The sequence below is a fragment of the Homo sapiens genome, chromosome 3 (assembly GCF_000001405.40).
Source record: "Homo sapiens chromosome 3, GRCh38.p14 Primary Assembly".
NCBI classification, from domain to species: Eukaryota; Metazoa; Chordata; class Mammalia; order Primates; family Hominidae; genus Homo; species Homo sapiens.
The window spans coordinates 98,238,349-98,259,354 of NC_000003.12; the positions used below are offsets into that span (position 1 = coordinate 98,238,349).

General features: G+C 38.0%; 1 pseudogene, besides 1 other annotated feature; it reads left to right on the plus strand.

The window, feature by feature from the left end:
• OR5H7P (olfactory receptor family 5 subfamily H member 7 pseudogene) lies at positions 4–930 on the plus strand (annotated as a pseudogene).
• Positions 3,667–4,362: an enhancer, noted in NCBI's record as "OCT4-NANOG hESC enhancer chr3:97960859-97961554 (GRCh37/hg19 assembly coordinates)". NCBI's record gives its function as "activates a minimal SCP1, AML or CMV promoter by ChIP-STARR-seq in naive H9 embryonic stem cells {active_cell/tissue: H9 hESC(naive)}" and the evidence as "EXISTENCE:reporter gene assay evidence [ECO:0000049][PMID:30033119]".

A 21,006-nucleotide genomic window follows, 5' to 3' on the forward strand; every position in this document is an offset into this window, starting at 1 on the left:
GACATGGAGGAGGAAAATACAACATTGCTGACAGAGTTTGTTCTCACAGGATTTTTATATCAACCACAGTGGAAAATACCCCTGTTCCTGGCATTCTTGGTAATATAGCTCATCACCATCATGGGGAATCTTGGTCTAATTGTTCTCATCTGGAAAGACCCTCACCTTCATATCCCAATGTATTTATTCCGTGGGAGTTTGGCCTTTGTGGATGCTTGGTTATCATCCACAGTGACTCCAAAGATGCTGATCAACTTCTTAGCTAAGAGTAAGATGATATCTCTCTCTGAATGCATGGTACAATTTTTTTCCTTTGTAATCAGTGTAACCACAGAATGTTTTATCTCGGCATCAATGGCATATGATCGCTATGTAGCCATTTGCAAAGCTTTACTTTATCCAGTCATTATGACCAACGGACTATGCATCCAGCTATTAGTCTTGTCATTTATAGGTGGCCTTCTTCATGCTTTAATCCATGAAATTTTTTTATTCAGATTAACCTTCTGTAATTCCAACATAATACAACACTTTTACTGTGACATTATCCCATTGTTAAAGATTTCCTGTACTGATTCTTTTATTAACTTTCTAATGGTTTTTATTTTCGCAGATTCAATTCAAGTTTTTACCATTGGAACTATTCTTATATCTTATACACTTGTCCTCCTTATAATCTTAAAAAATAAGTCTGTCAAAGGGATACAAAAAGCTGTCTCCACCTGTGGAGCTCATCTCTTATCTGTATCTTTATACTATGGGCCCCTTGTCTTCATGTATGTGGGCTCTGCATCCCCGCAAGCAGATGACCAAGATATGATGGAGTCTCTATTTTACACTGTCATCGTTCCTTTATTAAATTCCATGATCTACAGCCTGAGAAACAAGCAAGTAATAGCTTCATTCACAAAAATGTTCAAAAGAAATGTTTAGATCTCATACAATCTCTGTTCTCTGTTTACTAAAATTTTCCCAAGATTGTTCAAGTTAAAGGTATCTGTGTTTTGCTAGCATTCAAAGATTTTGCAAAGTCCTAGCACTTTAAGGACCTAAGGTGTTAATATCTAGTAAACTAATAAATACACTCCTAATGTTATTCAACGGCATTTAAAAATTTTTAGTCATGTTCATATCATAATCAAATAATGTCAGCAGAAAGCAAATAAAAATATTTTACAGTGTTTATGTTATTCAATGTGGCTTTATAAATGCATTAAATGCTAAGATAGTCTATGTCATCTGATAAGGACTTGAGTATGATGATTTTGATACTAATACAACTATATTACCTGAGACACTCAACACATTTAACTCTGTTGTGAAAGTAGATTTGTGTTTTGGTGAACAGAGGTAAATCCCAAGAATTCTGCTAGCCATCAAGGGATCTTTTATTCCACTTCATTGGGAAAGAGTGAATTCTACTTCTTGTAGAAAATCAACTCACATATCAGGTAAAGAAATAAACAAAAATGGAAATGCAATGAGGAGAAAAACTGAGAAGGGAGTTAACAGTGAAGATCTTGCCAAAGCCTAAAAGGGTACTCTTTACGTAGTGTGCTTGCAAAAGTAAGAAGAGGTAAGTTGCCTCTAACTTTCTACAATGGTTTCTAATGCCTTTTCCAGCTGTGGCTGTATGTATTTAGATAATCTGAAAAGCTCCCTTAATTCAGAAAATTAAAAGATGAACTAGAAGAACTAAGCTGAAGTAGGCATTGAGAAGAAAAGATAAGTGGCATAATAAGAACAAAATGGCCTTAATCTTCCCAGAAAAAAAAATGAAGCTATGAGATTTTTAATATTCAGTGATGTTGCAAGATTATTGGAATGATTTTTTGACAACCAGAGACTTTAAATTCTTATTACCAAAGTTCAAATAATGATCAGATGATCTGACATCATAGTGCCTAGTGAGTGAAGGGAAAAAACATGAAAATGAGGAAGTTTGTATATTTCTGCCTCAAAAAGTCCTTGCTTGTTAGCCTTCTTCAAACCTCATACTCTTGAAGTGCATGAGTCATCCATCTAGCAGTCCACTCTGCCCTTCATCTTTCATCACTGAAATTTTGTTTACATTCTCACTGATACCATGAGGCCTTTACCTAAAAACTACTCATGTATTGTTTTGCAAATCTCTGGTTACTTATTTTCTCCATTCTTCTAGTACTCATTCATTCCCTTAACATTGCCATCAGATCGGTTTTTTGCTAACATAACTCTAATATTTATGTAGCTCTTCAGTTTCTTTTGTAGGACTGTCATTGCTACCAAATTATATGCATATATGGTTTAGGTATCTATATCTGTGTGTGTGTAAATATACATTTTTTTATGTGTATGTATAGTCATCTAATATATGTATATATACACATGTATAAAGTAGTGGCATTAAAATTCAGAGTTTATTTGAGGAAACTGATTTATTTGGTACCACCAGACTGCAGGTGCTTTGGTGCTTTCCTGAAGAGGAAAGAAAAGAAGCTGTTATAGGGTAAATGAGAAAGTAAGGCAAAAAGAAATATTTTATTGGCTAAAGTGAAGCAGTGGCATGATTTGGATCATGTGGAAGTTTAATAGTTAGAGGTGAGTTGGTGGTTGTTTTAAGTTAATTTTTGTTTTACCATTTACACTGAGTTGGATTTCTGTTTGCTTAGGCAGGAACCCACTTTGCTGCACCCACCTCAGCCCAATATCCTTTTATTTAACTATTTTAGCTATTTTTTCCCTTTTGGTTAGGCTCCCAGTTATGGGATATTGACTAAAACTTAGGCACATGGGCCACTTTCTGTGACGAGCACAGCTGGTTTAGCTTTGTGTCAACATGGAACTCATGTCATAATGTCCGGTCTCTTGCAGAAGTGTTTCTTTTACTATTTTTTCTTTGTTGTTGTCATTCTAATCACAGTGAGGAAACCTGGCATACTGTGATGGCTATGAACTCACATTTAAGACTCTTGAGAGACTACAGCACTCCAGGAAGATTACAATGATAATAGTCACAGTGATAGTCCCAAGAGAATGGGGATATACTCCATAGCCAAAGTGTGCACGAACCAACTGAAATAAACCCAATAAAAACAAAAGATCAATGGTTATAACAATCTATAAACTTAGTATCTGAGCCCTGAGGGCAGTTATTTGAGAAGACTTTTAAATTTAAGCTCAAAGCGTCTTTAGATGATGAAATAAAGTGGCAGTTGCAATATGATGATTTTTCTAGTTTGCAGTCTGAATGTCTCTGTTTACGTCATTGGTCAACTACCTGAGCAGACAAGTCAGCTACATTCATAAAGATTGTCCTCTATAGTTTACATCCAGTTGCCCAGCCCTAGCTTGTAGGGCTTCAGGAATAGGGCAATTTATAGGTAGATAATAAAACCTCAAAGACAATGGAGAGAACAAGAATTTAACAGTGGGCGCACTATACTTTTCTACTGAAACATTATTTTTTCCTCTACAGTTCCCTTCATTTCTACCAAACATAATTATAGAAAGACTAATTTCTTTACAAAATAAGTCTACTCTCATTAAACTTCAACTGAGTATTTACATAAGTGCAGTAAAAATAGTGACTGATCATATCTTTTTAATTTGGCCAAGTTAGGACCTTTAATAAATAATCTCATATTAGACTTTAATATTCTCTCCAGGCTATGATGTCATGCAAAGACATAGCATCTGTTTTGACCTGCAACTTCCATAGATTTAGGTAAATTCCCTTATACTCAAAAGAAGTCCTAAAAAGTTTTTTCAGTTTCCTGGGCCTTCTAGAAAGTGACCTTCCTCTCAGTCAGTAAGGTTGGAAAGGTGTGAGCAGATATCAGGCCAGTTTCTCTTGAGAAATTTTCTGTAGTTTGATTTGAGGGACCCATTCAAATCTCATGTTGAAATCTGAATCAAATGTTGGAGGTGAAACAGAATAGAGGTGTGTGGGTCAAGAGCTAGAATTCCTAATGAATGGTAATGCCATTCTCATGATAATTGATGAGTTCTCACATTCTTTGTTCCCTTGATTGCTTTAATTGGACAATACTTCTCAATTTCACATATTATATAAGCCTCATTAGCTTAACATCTCTCTTTTTGTAACAGATAATGAAAATTCTCTTTCGACATTCTAGAGGCTCATCTGGGAAATCTCAAAGTTAATTGAGGTCAAAAAAGATTTAATTTACAGTTTTATTTTGGGAAGTTTGTTAAAACTATCAAATGATTTAAATAATTGGTTAAGTATAGGCACTGGTTACTGAAAGAATACTAAAATGACAAAAGATTTCAAAGTAAATAGAAAAAGTGATGTTATTGAAAAAAAGTTAAATCTTTTAATATTGAGAAAACTCAGTTTTCTTAAGGAATCAAATACCAGCTAAAGACAATATGGATCACAAAACATCATCTTGACAAAACATACATTCTTTTCATTTCACAGTCCATGTACTTAAAGGGTCATGAGAAAACTTAACCAGTGTCTAATAAGAGCAGACCAACACATTGTTAAAACCTTGCCATTTTAATTAAGAAGACCAAATTATAGTTTTTATTAGTTTAATTTTAATATTAAGACTCATTTTAAACACTCATAATAACTTGAATTCCGGTAACTTAACTGCAAAAGATTCTCTTTCTCTTCCAACTCTCTGTACCCATTTGGTTTTTGTCCTTCATCATCTATCCTGAAACAACTTTTAGGTACCATCCAAACTAGACAAAATTACTCCACTTTTCTTTTTTTTTTAAATATATGTCCTCATACCTGGTGGTTTTCTTATCAATAACATTTTTCACTTTACTTGGATACTTTGCATACAGAGTTATTTTTCTTATGCTGTTTAGAAGTTTTAATTACCACACGTTAACTAGAACTCTCAATTCTCAGCAGCTTTATTTTCTTGGATATAAGTGATTGCCTAGTACATATCACATCCAAAATCTGTAGATGGGGAAACCTATGAATACACCATTTTATAATTTGTAGAAGCATATGTTTCTTCACAGCACAATTTCTCACTGTAGCAATGAAATATGTTTGCTAGTGACCTCAAATATTTTTATTTCCTATGTAATAGGAAGCCCAAAGCAGATAAGCCTATTTTCAGAAATTAATGTTTTAACATTTTGTCTTATTTGGAAATCAGCCAGGTATTCAATGAATGTTGATCATTTAATTTAGCTTTGTGAACCTCTAAGGGTATAAATTACCATAGAGATTTGGGAGGATATTTTTATGCAGGCACATTATAAAACATAATTTAAAAACAATTATAAATAGTTTATAAATAAATTATAAAACAAAGTTTAAATCTTTATAAATTTTGTTGTACTTACATCCTTTTACTTAAATTTTTATTTTTTATTTTTATTTTTATATGTTTTATATATTTTATATATTTATACACCTAAAAAATCACTAACATTTCTATACACCAAAAACAGTCAAGCCAAGAGCCAAATCAGGAATGCAATCCCATTCACAATTGCCACAAAAAGAATAAAATACCTAAGAACACAGCTAACCAGGGAGGTGAAAGTGTAAGTTCCTCTGAGCTGGCCGCACCATGATCAAGCCATCACGACATTCCCCCACCCTTGTGATAATATACTTTGTGATATTCCCCATCTTTGTGAATGTACTTTGTAACTAACATTCCTCCCTGCCCTTGTGACAATACACCCTCCCCCATCCTTGTGAATGTACTTTGTAACTTTCCCCCCCGACCCTGGTGACGATACATCCTCTCCCCACGTGAATGTACTTTGTATCACCCTCCCCGCCCTTGAGAATGTATTTTGTAACATCCATCCACTGCCAGCAAAAAATTGCTCCTGACTCCACTGCCTATCACAAACCTATAAGAACCAACGATAATCCCACCACCCTTGGCTGACTCCTTTCTCAGACTCAGCCCACTTGCACCCAAGTGAATAAACAGCCTTGTTGCTCACACTAAGCCTGCTCAGGTGGTCCCTTATACAGACACGGGTAACATTTGGTGTCGAAGACCCGTGACAGGGGAACTCCTACGGGAGAGCAGTCCCCTGTCCTCGTGCTCCCACCGTGAGGAGATCCACCTGTGACCTCGGGTCATCAGACCAGCCAGCCCAAGGACCATCTCACCAATTTCAAATCAGTAAGCGGGTTTTCGCAATTGGGTAAGTGGTTTTTCGCTCTCTACCTAACCTCTCTTGCCTCCCTTAAATCTCTCTCCTTTCAATTTCAGTTTCTCTCCCTTCCTGGTAGAGACAAAAGGAGACACATTTTATCCGTGCATTCAAAAACTCCGACGTCGGTCACGGACATGGGAAGACAGTCTTCCCTTGGTGTCTGATCACCGCGGTGACGCCTGCTGTGGTCATTCACCCACCTTCCCTTGGTGGCAGGTCAATCGCAAGGACGCCTGCTTTGGCTGCTCACCCACATTACAGCCCAGGACTCAGTCAGGGGTGCCTACTGGAAGCCTGGTAGCTTCCCACCTCCATTTCTCCATGTCTCTACCTTCCTCTTTAAACTTACCTTCTCCTCTATGGGCAACCTTCCACCATCCATTCCTCCCTCTTCCACCTTAGCCTGTGTTCTTAAAAACCTAAAACCCCTTCAACTAACACCTGACTTAAAACCTAAATGTCTTATTTTCTTCTGTAATACTGCTTGACCCCAATACAAACTCGACAATAGTTCCAAGTGGCCACAGAATGGCACTTTCAATTTGTCTATCCTACAAGACCTAGATAATTTTTGTCGACAACTGGGCAAATGATCTGAGGTACCTTATGTCCAGGCATTTTTTTACACTTCATTCCCTCCCTAGTCTCTGCTCCCAGTGCAACTCCTCCCAGATTTTCCTTCTTTCTTTCCCGTTCGCTCCTTCGGTCTCCACCCCAAGCTCAGAGTCCTCTGAATCCTCCTTTTCTACTGACCCCTCTGACCTCTCTCTTCCTCCCCTGGCCGCTCCTTCCCAGGCTGAATCAGGTGCCAATTCTTCCGCAGCCTCCACTCCACCATCCTATAACCCTTCTATTACCTCCCCTCCTCACACCGAGTCTGGCTTACAGTTTCATTCCACGACTAGCTCCCCGCAACCTGCCCAACAATTTCCTCTTAGAGAGGTGACTGGAGCTGAAGGCATAGTCAGGGCATATGTGCCTTTTTCTCTGTCAGACCTTTCCCATATCAGCCAGCGTTTAGGCTCTTTCTCATCAGACCCCACTAAATATATATAGGAATTCCAATATCTAACTCAGTCCTACAGTTTAACCTGGAGTGACTTAAATGTCATCCTGACCTCTACCCTCTCCCCGTATGAACGAGAAAGAGTTCATTTTCTAGCCCAGTCCTACTCAGACACCTGCTGGCTTCATGAGCCAGGCCTCCAAGAGGGCACCAGGGCAGTTCCCCGAGAGGATCTCCATTGGCAATACCAGACGGACTCACCAGGTATAGGTAGGCTAGATTACATGGTCTCCTGCCTAGTCGAGGGGCTCAGAAAGGCAGCATAGAAAGCAGTTAATTATGACAAGCTGAAGGAAATTACCCCAGGTAAAGATGAAAACCCAGCCCAATTCATGGCCACTTAGCAGCTACCCTTAGACGTTTTACAGCCCTAGACCCAGAGGGGTCAGAAGGCCACCTTATCCTTAATATGCATTTTGTCACCCAATTCTCTCCTGACATTAGAAAAAAACTCCAAAAGTTGGATTCCGGCCCTCAAACCTTACAACAGGATTTAATCAACTTTGCCTTCAAGGTGTTCAATAACAGAGAAGAAGCCACCAAGCGGCAACATATCTCTCAGTTACAGCTACTTGCCTCCGCTGTAAGACAACCCACAGTCACGTCTCCAGCATACAAAACCTTCAGAACATCTAAACCACAGCTCCCAGGGGTTCCTTCAAAACCTCCTCATGGACCTTGCTTCAAATGCCAAAATCCTGGCCACTGGGCCTCAGAATGCCCGCAGCCCGGGATTCCTCCTAAGCCACGCCCTGTCTGTGCGGGGCCCACTGGAAGTTGGACTGTCTGACTCACATTTCCGCTGCTTCTAAAGCTCCTGGAGCTCAAACCCAACTTTCCTTGGCCGATTCCTTCCCAGATCTCCTCAGCTTAGTAGCTGAAGACTGACACTGCCCAATAACTTTGGAAGCCCCCTGGACCATCACGGACACCAAGCTCCGGGTAACTCTTATAGTGGAGGGTAAGTCCATCCCCTGTTTAATCGATATGGGGGCTACCCACTCCACATTACCTTCTTTTCAAAGGCCTGTTTTCCTTGCCCCCGTAACTGTTGTGGTTATTGATGGCCAGGCTTCTACACCCTTTAAAACTCCCCAACTCTGGTGCCAACTTGGACAACATTCTTTTATGCACTTTTTTTTAGTTATCTCCACCTGCCCAGTTCCCTTATTAGGCTGAGACGTTTTAACTGAATTATCTGCTTCCCTGACTATTCCTGGACTACAGCCACACCTCATTGCTGCCCTTTTGCCTGATTCAAGGCCTCCTTTGAATTCTCCTCTCGTGTATCCCTACCTTAATCCACACGTATGGGATCCTCTACTCCCTGCCTGGTGACCAATCAGGTATCACTTACCATCCCATTAAAACCTAATCACCCTTACCCAGCTCAACGTCAGTACCCCATCCCACAACAGGCTTTAAGAGGACTAAAGCCTGTTACTGTTCCCCTGTTACAGCATGGCCTTTTAAAGCCTACAAATTCTCCTTACAACTCCCCTATCCTACCTGTCCAGAAATTGGACAAATCTTTTTTTTAATTTCTTTTATTATTATTATTATTATTATTATACTTTAAGTTTTAGGGTACATGTGCACAACGTGCAGGTTTGTTTCATATGTGTACATCTTACAGGTTGGTTCAGGATCTTCATTCTATTAGGTCTATTCATCCTTACCCTACTTTTTGCAACAGGGCTTTACGTGGTCAGTCCCCACTTCTTGGACTGTGCCCCATAAACCTGTCATCCCTACTATCTTCTGTCTAGTTATACTCCTATTCACCATTCTCAACTACTCGTAAATGCCCTGCCGTGGTTTACACTGCTGGTTTACACTTTTCCTCCAAACCATCATAACTGAAATCTCCTGGTTTTACCTCAAACTGCCACCCTTAACTCTCTCTTGGAGTGAATAGAAGATCTTCAGTGGCAAGGTACACTCCAATTCTTCTATCCTGATGAAGTCCTTTTTTAGTTTTTTTTACTTTTCTACTCACTCTTATCCTTGCCCCCATTCTCCAGTCACTCTCTACCTCTCCCTAGTTACCTCCAGCATACTGTAAATCTCACCCACTCTCTCCTCACTTCCTCCAATCCTTCTCTAGCAAAGAATTGTTGGCTATGCGTTTCCCTTTCTTCCTGCTGTTACACAGCCATCCCCACTCCATGGGTCAACTGGGCTACCTCTCCTGTCTCCCTGCACCTCCAAACCTCCTTTAATAGCCCTCATCTTTACCCACCTGAGGAACTTCTTTACTTTCTAGACAGATTTGGTGAGAACTCCCCAGACATTTTGCACCAACAAGCTGCCACACTTCTCCACATCTACTCATGGCACCTTTCTCCTACATCAATTCCACTCCCCCTCCCCATATTTGGACCCCTAACCACACAAACAACTATCCCTGTTGCTGCTTCTTTATGCATCTCCTGACAACAGCCTGCTGGAATCCCTTTAGGCAACCTTCCACCGTCTAAATATTCCTTTACTCTTTATCTCCAGCCACACATTACCAGATGGGAGCATTCCAACTTTGCATTACTGATAAGCCCTCTATCATTATTGACAAACTAAAAAACATTGGCAGTCACTACTGTTTAGGAAGACACCTACCGTGCATCCTTGGCTACCGTCCCGCTGCTCATCTGTCTCTCCTCCTGGCCCCTCCTCTTGCTTGCTTATACCCAGACCCATGAATAGCAGTGAAAGCTTACTTGTAGACACTATGTGCTTTCTCTTATTCCATGAGAACTGAACCTCTCCCTCTATGCAGTTGCACCATCAATCCCCTTACAACCGCTAACGGCTGCTGTCCTTGCTGGATCTTTAGGATTTGGGGTGCAGGACTCCTCTTTCAGTACACCCTGTCACCTTTTTACTTTACATTTCCAGTTCTGCCTGACACAACATCTCTTTTTTTTATGTGGCTCTTCCACCTACATGTGCCTACCTGTCAAGTGGACAGGCACATGTACTCTAATCTTCCTTACCCCCAAAATCCAGCTTGCAGATGGGAATGAACAACTGCTTGTCCTCCTCATGACACCAACATGACAAAAAAGAGTCATCCCACTAATCCCTTTACTTGTGGGTCTAGGACTTTGTGCCTTCACTATTGCACTTGGAACTGGAATAGCAGGTGTCTCAACCTCTGTCACAACATTCTGCAGCCTCTCTTATGACTTCTCTGCTAGCATTACAGATATATCACAAACTTTATCTGTCCTCCAAGCTCAGGTTGACTCTTTAGCTACAGTTGTCCTTCAGAACCACCAAGGCCTCGATTTACTCACTGCTGAAAAAGGAGGACTCTGTATATTTCTTAAAGAGGAGTGTTGTTTTTACTTAAATCAATCTGGCCTGGTATATGATAACATCAAAAAACTCAAAGACAGAGCTCAAAAACTTGCTAATCAGGCAACTAATTACACTGGACCCACCTGGCCACTCTCTAACTGGGTATCCTGGCTTCTTCCAATCATTAGTCCTCAATACCTATCCTCCTCCTTCTCTTATTCAGGCTTTGTGTCTTCCAATTAATCTCTCAATTCCTACGAAACCGCATCAAGGCTATCACTCATTACTCTATACAACAAATGCTGCTTTTAACAATCCCACAATATCACCCCTTACCCCAAAGTATTACTTAAGTCTAATCTCTCCCACTTAAGGTTCCCGTGCCACCTCTAATCCTGCTCAAAGCAGCCCTGAGAAACATCACCCATCACCCCTCCATACAACCCCCAAAATTTTCACCCCAAGTTTTCACTACTCTTTCTTGTTTTATGTCTTCCTTATTAACATTAAAAAACAGAAATGTAAGGTCCTTTGATCTGGCTGCACCGTGGTCAAGCCATCATGACATTCCCCCCACCGTTGTGATAATGTACTTTGTGATATTCCCTGTCCAGTGCATGTACTTTGTAACATTCCTTCCCGCCCTTATGACAATACATCCTCCGTGCCCTTGTGAAGGTACTTTGTAACATCCTCCCCACCCTTCTGACAATACACCCTCCTTGCCCTTGTGAATGTACTTTGTAACATCCTCCCCACCCTTGAGAATGTATTTTGTAACATCCATCCACTGCCAGCAATAAATTGCTCCTGACTCCACCGCCTATCCCAAACCTATAAGAATCAATGATAATCCCACCACTCTTTGCTGACTTCTTTCTCAGACTCAGCCCACTCGCACCCAAGTGAATAAACAGACTTGTTGCTCTCACTAAGCCTGCTCAGATGGTCTCACACGGGCATGCATAACAGAAAGATCTCTACAAGTAGAACTACAAAACCCTTCTCAAAAAAATCAGAGATGACTCATACAAATGGAAAGACATTTCATGCTCATGGATAGGAAGAACCAGTATCATTAAAATGGCCTAAACGCCCAAAGCAATTTATAGATTCAATGCTATTCCTATCATTAGATTCATCAGAGAACTAGAAAAAACTGTTTTAGAATTCATATGGAACAATTCATATGGAAAAAGAGCCTGAATAGCCAAGGCCATCCCAAGCAGAAAGAACAAAGATAGAGCCATCATGCTACCCTACTTCAAACTATACTACAGGGCTACATTAACCAAAACAGCATGGTACTGGTACAAGAACAGATACATAGACCAATGGAACATAATAGAGAACCTAGAAATAAGACCACATACCTACAACCATCTGGTCTTCAACAAAACAAGCAATGGGGAAAGGATTCTTTATTTAAAAAGCGGTGTTAAGAGAACTGGCTAGCCTTATGCAGAAAATTGAAACTGAACTTCTTCCTTACACCATATACCAAAATAAACTCAAGATAAATTAAAGAGTTAAATGTAAAACCCAAAACTATAGAAACCTTAGAAGAATACCTAGGCAATACAATTCAGGACATAGGCATGGGCAAAGATTTCATGACAAAGATACCAAAACTGATTGCAACAAAAGCACAAATTGACCAATGGGATCTAATTAAACTAAAGAGCTTCTGCAGAGCAAAAGAAACTATCAACATGGGGTAAACAAACAACCTAAGAATGTGAGAAAATTTTTGCAGTGTGTGCATCCGACAAAGATCTAACATCCAGCATCTATAATGAACATAAACAAATTTACAAGAAAAAAAAAAACCCTATCAAAATGTGGGTGAACGATATGAACAGACACTTCTAAAAGAAGACATTTATGTGGCCAAAAAACATATCAAAAAAAGCTCAACATCACTGATCATTAGAGAAATGCAAATCAAAACCACAATGACATACCGTCTCACACCAGTCAGAATGGCTATTATTAAAAAGTCAAAGAATAATATATGCTAGTGAGGTTGTGGAGAAAAATGGAACACTTAGACAGTGTTGATGGGAGTGTAAACTGGCTCTACCACTGTGGAAGACAGTGTGGTGATTTCTCAAAGACATAAGAACAGAAATACCTTTTGACCCAGCAATCCAATTACTGAGGGTATACCCAAAGGAATGTAAATTGTTCTATTATGAAGACACATACATGTGTATGTTCATTACAGCATTAATCACATAGCAAAAACATGGAATCAACCTAAATGCTCATCAATAATAGACTGGATAATGAAAATGCAGTACATATACACCATGGAATACTATACAGTCATAGAAAGGAATGATACCGTGTCCTTTGCAGCAACATGGATAGAGCAGGAGGCCGTCATCCTTAGCAAACTAATGGAGAGACAGAAAACTAAATACTACAAGGTTCTCACTTATAAGTGGGAGCTAAATGATGAGAATATATGGACACTTAGTTGGGAACAGCACACACTGGGACCTATTGGAGGATGGAGGGTGGGAGGAGGGAGAATATCAAAAAAATAACTAATGAAATCTGGGCTTAATGCCTGGCTGGTGACATAATCTGTACAGCAAACCCCCTTGACACACGTTTACCTATGTAACAAACCTGCACAACCTTCACATGTACCCCTGAACTTAAAAGTTTAAAATTTTTATTTTTAATACTTGTGGATACATATATATATGTATGTGAGTGTGTGTATGTATATGTATATATGTGTATATATGTACATGTATGTATATGTATATATGTACCCCAGAGTATTTTTTTATATATTTATACTTATTCTACTATACAGACACATGCATTTGTGTCTTTATTGATGTGTTAGTCTCTCTCTCTATATTATATATATTATATATTTAATACTTGTGGGTACATATATATTCATATATATATACATGGGGTACATGAGATATTTTGATATAGGTATGCAACATGTTATAATCACATCATGGAAAATGAGGTATCCATCCCATCAACCATTTATCCTTAGTGATACAAACAATCCAAGTGTATTTCTTGGTAATTGTAAAATGTACAATTAAATTATTTTGACTATAGTAAACCTTCTGTCTACCAAATACTGGGTATTAATAATCATATCATGGAGAATAGAGTATATATCCTTTTACACATTTTTTTTGTGTTACAAATAATCCACTTATACTCTTTCAGTTATTTTTAAACATACAAGTGAAGAGGCAACCTAGCAAATAGGAGAAAACTTTTGCAATCTATCCATCTGACAAAGGTGTGATCTCCAGAATCTACAAGGAACTTAAACAAATTTACAAGAGAAAAACAAGCAATACCATCAAAAAGTGGGCAAAGGATATGAACTTCTCAAAAGAGGACATTATGTGGCCAAGAAATATATGAAAAAAGGCTCATCATCACTGGTCATTAGAGAAATGCAAATCAAAACCACAGTGAGATACCATCTCACCCCAATTAGAATGGCGATCATTAAAAAGTCAGGAAACAACAGATGCTGGAGAGGATGTGGAGAAATAGGAATGCTTTTACACTGTTGGTGGCAGTGTAAATTAGTTCAGCTATTGTGGAAGACAGTGTGGTGATTCCTCAAGGATCTAGAACCAGAAATACCATTTGACCCAGAAATCCTATTACTGGGTATATACCCAAAGGAATATAAATCATTCTACTATACAGACACATGCATTTGTATGTTTATTGAAGTGCTATTCACAATAGGAAAGACTTGGAACCAACCCAAATGCCCATCAATGATAGACTGGATAAAGAAAATGTGGCACATATACACCATGGAATACTATGCTGCCACAAAAAAGAACAAGTTCATGTCCTTTGCAGGGATATGGATGAAGTTGGAAACCATCATTCTCAGCAAACTGACACAAGAACAGAAAATCAAACACTGCATGTTCTCACTCATAAGTGGGAGTTAAACCATGAGAACACATGGACACAGGGAGGGTAACACTAAGCATCAGAGCCTGTTGGGGTGTGGGGGCCGTAGGGAGGGAGAGCATAAGGACAAATACTTAATGCATGCAGAGCTTAAAACCTAGATGACGGGTTGATGGGTGCAGCAAACCACCATGGCACATGTATACATATGTAACAAACCGGAACTTTCTGCACATGTATCCCAGAACTTAAAGCTTAATAAATAGTTTTTAAAAATTATTTACTACAGTCGCCCTTTTGTGATATCAAATAGTAGGTCTTATTTATTCTTTCTATCTATTATTTGTATCCATCAAGCATCCCCAAGTGCCCCTGAAATACCCAATACCCTTCTCAGCCTCTGGTTAACATTCTTCTACTCTCTGTGTGCATGAATTCAATTGTTTTGGTTTTTAGATGCCACAAGTAAGTGAGAATGTGTGATGTTTGTCTTTCTTTACCTGACTTATTTCATTTAACATGATGATCTCCAGTTCCATCCATGTTGTTGGAAATGACAGCGTCTCATTCTTTTTTATGGCTGAATTGAGACTCGTTGGGTATACATGCCACATTTTCTTTATCCATTCATTTGTTGATGGATACTTAGGTTGCTTCCAAATCTTGGCTATTGTGAACCATGCTGCAACACATATGTGCATGCAGATATCTATTCAATATACTGCTTTCCTTTTTGGGGGAGTATATATCCAGCAGTGGAATTACTGCATCATATGGTAGCTCTATTTTCAGTTTTTAGAGGAACCACCAAACTGTTCTCCATAGTGTTTATACTAATTTACATTCCCAACAACAGTGTATAAGGGTTCTCTTTTCTCCACATCCTTGCCAGCATTTATTATTGCCTGTCTTTTGGAGGCAAGCCATTTTAACTGGAGTGAGATGATATCTCATTGTAGTTTTAATTTGCATTTATCTAATGATCAATATGATGTAGAGCACCTTTCAAATGCCTGTTTTTCATTCATATGACTTCTTTTCAGAAATGTGTATTCAAATCTTTTGCCCATTTTAAAAATCAGATTATTCAATTTTTTTCCTATAGAGATGTTTGAGCTCCTTATATATTCTGGCTATTAATCCCTTGTCAGATGGGTAGTTTGTAAATATTTTCTCCCATTCTCTGGGTTGTCTCTTCACTTTGATGCTTGTATCCATTGCTGTGCTGAAGCTTTTTAACTTGATGTGGTGTCATTTGTCCATTTTTGCTTAGTTTGCTGTGCTTCTGGGTTGTTACTCAAAAAATTTTTGCCCTGCCCAATGTTCTGGATATATTCTCCAATGTTTTCTTTAGTAGTTTCATAGTTTGAAGTCTTGAATTTAAGTTTTAAATCCATTTTGATTTCAGTTTTCTATATGGTGAGAGATAGGGGTCTAGTTTTTTTCTTTTGCTTATGCATATCTAGTTTTCTGAGCACCATGTATTGATGAGACTGTCTTTCTCCAGTATGTGTTCTGGGAATTTTTGTTGAAAATGAGTTCACTGTAGATGTGTGCATTTGTTTCTGGATTCTTTATTCTGTTCCATTGGTCTGTGTGTCTATTTTTATGTCAACCGTGCTGGGTTTTTTTTTTTCTATAGTATCAGGGGAACCTGTCCCCAATATTTCAACATAGGTTCTTTCTATTTTCCATAAGTGTTGGCTGGATGAAAAATAAAGGGAAAGAGTACAAAGAGAGGAATTTTACAGCTGGGCCACCAGGGGTGACATCACATATCGGTAGGACTGTGATGCCCACCTGAGCCTCAAACCAGCAAGTTTTTTATTAAGGGTTTCAAAAGGGGAAGGGATGTAAGAATGGGGAGTAGATGACATGCTTCAAAGGGCGAAAAGGAGAACTACTGATAAGGGTCCAACAAAGATCACAAGGCAAAGGGCAAAAGCAGAACTACTGATAAGGGTCTATGTTCAGTGGTGCACGTATTGCCTTGATAAACATCTTAAACAACAGACATTCCCAGAGCGGCCATTTATAGACCTCCTGCAGGAATGCATTCCTTTCCGAGGATATTAATATTAATATTCTTTGCTAGGAAAAGAATTTAGTGATATCTTGCCTACTTGCACGTCCATTTATAGGCTCTCTGCAAGAATAAAAATATGGCTCTTTTTGCCCGACCCTGCAGGCAGTCAGACCTTATGGTTGTCTTCCCTTGTTCCCTAAAAATTGCTGTTATTCTGTTCTTTTTCAAGGTGCACTGATTTCATATTGTTCAAACACACGTTTTATAATCAATTTGTACAGTTAACACAATTATCACAGTGGTCCTGAGGTGACGTATATCCTCAGTTTATGAAGATAACAGGATTAAGAGATTAAAGACAGGCATAAGAAATTATAAAAGTATTATTTGGGAACTGATAAATGTCCATATTAAAATGAAACCTTCACAATTTATGTTCCTCTGCCACGGCTCCAGCCAGTCCCTCCATTCAGGGTCCCTGTCTTCCCACAACACTATAGCTCTGTAGTATATTTAAAGTCAGGTAACATGATTCCTCCAGTTTTGTTCTCTTAGCTTAGGATAGCTTTGGCTATTCTGGGTTTTCTTTTGTCATTCTATATATATTTTAGAATTGTTTCTTCTATTTCTTTGAAGAATGTCATTGGTATTTTGATAGGCAATGCACTGAATCTATAGATTGCTTTTGGCAGTGTGGACATTTTAACAATATTGATTCTTCCAATCCATGAACATAAAATATCTTTTCATGTTTTGATGTCATCTTTAACTGCCTTCATCGATGTTTTATAGCTTTCATTATTGAGATCTTTCACTTCTCTGGTTAATTCCTAAATACTTAATTTTACATGTGGCTACTGTAACTGTGATTACTTTTGAATTTCTTTTTCATATTGTTCACTGTTGCTATATAGAAATGCTACTTATTTTTGTATGTTGATTTTGTATCCTGCAAGTTTACTGAATTTGTTTACCAGTTCTAATAATTTTCTTTTTGAATTTTTCATTTTTTCCAAATACATAATTATATCATCTGCAAGCAGGATAATTTCACTTTTTCCTTTCCAATTTAGATGCCCTTTATACCTTTTCCTCTATGATTGTACTTCCAGTATTATATTGAATAACAGTGGTGACAGTAAACATCCTTGTCATGTTCCAAATCTGAGAGGAAAGTGTTACACGCGTCTGTGTGAGGAGACCACCAAACAGGCTTTGTGTGAGCGATAAAGCTTTTTAATCACCTGGGTGCAGGCAGGCTGAGTCCAAAAAGAGAGTCAGTAAAGGGAGATAGGGGTGGGACCATTGTATAGAATTTGGGTAGGTAGTGGAAAATTACAGTCAAAGGGGGTTGTTCTCTGGCAGACGGGCGGGGGACACAAGGTGCTCAGTGGGGGAGCTTTTGAGCCAGGAGAAGGAATTTCACAAAGTAATGTCTTCAGTTAAGGCAGGAACAGGCCATTTTCACTTCTTTAGTGATTCTTCAGTTACTTCAGGCCATCCGAATGTATAGTGCAGGTCACAGGAGATATGATGGCTTAGCGTGGGCTCAAAGGCCTGACAGAAAGGCTTTCAGTTGCTCCCCATTCAGTATGATACTGACTGTGAGTCTGTTGTATATGGCTTTTATTATGTTGTGGTATGTTCCTTGTATACCCAATTTCTTGAGGGTTTTTATTATAAAGTGATGTTGAATTTTATCAAATGGTTTTTCAGCATCAATTGAAATGATCATATGGTTTTTATTCTTCATTCTGTTGATATGATGTATCATGTTGATTGATTTGTGGATGCTGAACCATACCTGCATCCTAGGGATAAATCCCACTTGGTCATAATGAATGATCTTTATCATGTATTGTTGAATTCAGTTTGCTAATATTTTGTTGAGGATTTTTGATCAATATTTACCAGAGATATTGTCCTGTAGTTTTCTTTTTTTTGATGTGTATTTGTTTGGTTTTGGTATCAGAATAATTCTGGTCTTGTCAAATGAGGTTCCTTGTCTATTTCTTGAAATAGTTTGAGTAGGATTGGTATTAGTTCTTTAAATGTTTGGTAGAATTCAGCAGTGAAGCTATCAGATCCCTGGCTTTTCTTTACTGGATGTCTTTTTATTACAGCTTCAGTATTGTTACTTGTTATTGGTCTGTTCAGGTTTTGGATTTCTTCCTGGTTCAATCTTGGTAAATTGAATTTGTCCAGGAATTTGTTCATTTCTTCCAGGTTTTCCAATTTATTGGCATATAATTGCTCATAGTAGGCACTAATGATGCTTTAAATTTCTGCAGTATCAGTTGTAATGTCAGCTATTATTGTATTGGGGCCTATTTCTGCCTTTAGCTCTAGTAATATTTGCTTTATCTATCTGGGGCTCCACTGTTGAGTGCATATATAATTAAAATTGTTATATCCTTAGGCTGAATTTATTCCTTTATCATTATATAGTAACTCACTTTTCTTATAGTTTTTGTCTTGAAATCTATTTTGTCTGATATAAGTATAGTGACTACTGCTCTCTTTTGATTTCCATTGGCATAAAATATTATTATTCTTCCCTTTGTTTTCAGTCTATGTGTGTCTTTGTAGGTGAAGTGTGTTTTCTGTGGGCAACAGATCAATGGGTCTTGTTTCTTTATTTATTCAGTCACTCCATATTTTGATTGGAGAGTTTAGCCCATTTGTAATACATTTAATATTATTATTGATAAGTAACAACTTACTCCTACCATTTTTCATTTGTTTTCTGCTTATTTTGTGGTCTTCTCTTTTTTCTTTCTTTCCTTCCTGTCTTCCTCTAATGAAAATGATTTTCTCTGGTGATATGATTTAGTTTCTTGATTTTTATTTTTTCTGTATCTGGTGTGTGCTTTTTGGCTTGAGGTTACCACAGGGCTTGAAAATAGTTCATTTATTTCCATCTACAACCCATTATTTTAACCTAATAACAATACTATTTGCATAAACAAACAAATAAGCAAAAAATAAATAAATAAATAAATACTCACCATAAGTTAGCCCTCCTGCTTCTTAACTCTCTGTTGTTTCTATTTATGTACTATCTTGTTGACTATGTCTTGAAAAGTTGTAGTTATTTTTTTTTAATTTTTTTTTTTATTTCCATCAGTTATTGGGGAACAGGTGCTGTTGGTTACACGAGTACATTCTTCAATGGTGATTTGTGATATTTTGGTGCACCCATCACCTGAGCAGTATACCTTGCACACAATTTGTTGTCTTTTATCTCTCATCCTCTTCCCACCCTTTCCCCTGAGTCCCCAAAATCCATTGTGTCATTCCTCTGCCTTTGTATCCTCATACCTTATATTTTTTATTGGTTTGTTGTTTAGTCTTTCTACTTAGCATAAGCATAGTTTACACACCACAGTTACAGTGCTATAATATTCTGTGTTTTTTTTTCTGTGTACTTACTGTTATCAGTAAGTTTTCTACCTCCAGATGATTATTTACTGCTTTTTAATGTCCTTTTTGTTCTGATTAAAATACTCTCTTTAGCATTTCTTGTAGGATGGGTCTAGTATTAATGAAATCCTTCAGCTTGTTTGTTTGAGAAAGTTATTTCTCCTTCATGTTTGAAAAATAATTTCACCAGATATACTAATGTAGGGTAAAACGTTTTTTCCTTCAGCACTTTCATATGTCATGTGACTATCTTCTGGCCTGTAAGGTTTCCATTGAAAAGTCTGCTGCCAGATGTATTGGAGAGCCATTGTATGTCATTTGTTTATTTTCTCTTGCTGCTTTTAGGATCCTTTATCCTTTATCTTTGGGTCCTTGATTATCAAATACCTTGAAGCAGTCTTCTTTGGGTTAAATTTGCTTGAGGTTCTATAACCTTCTTGTACTTGAATATTGATATCTTTCTCTAGGTTTGGGAAGTTCTCAGTTAGTCTCCCTTTGAGTAAACTTTCTACCCCTATCTCTCTTTTTACCTCTTCTTTAAGGCCAATAACCCTTAGATTTGCCCTTTGGAGGCTGTTTTCTAGATACTGTCAGTGCACTTCACTGTTTTTTGTTCTTTCTTCTTTTGTCTCCTCTGATTGTGTATTTTCAAATATACTGTTTTCAAGCTCACTAATTCTTTCTTCCGATCAATCCATTCTGCTATTAAAGGGCTCTGATGTGTTCTTTAGTATGTTAATTGCATTTTCAGCTCTAGAATTTCTGCTTGATTCTTTTTAATTCTTTCAATCTCTTTGTTAAATTTTTCTGATAGAATTCTGAACTCCTTCTCTGAGTTATCTTGAATTTCTTTGAGTTTCCTCAGCACAGTTATTTTGCATTCTCTGTCTGAAAAGTTCCATATCGCTGTTTCTCCAGGACTGGTGCCTAATCTGTTCATTTGGTGAGGTCTTGTTTCCTGGATAGAGTTGATGCTAGTAGCTGTTCTTCAGTGTCTGTGCATTGAAGAGTTAGGCATTTATTGTAGTGTTCACTGTCTAGGCTTATTTGTAGATGTCTTACTTCAGAAGGCTTTCCAGTTATTTGAAAGAACTTCAGCATTGTC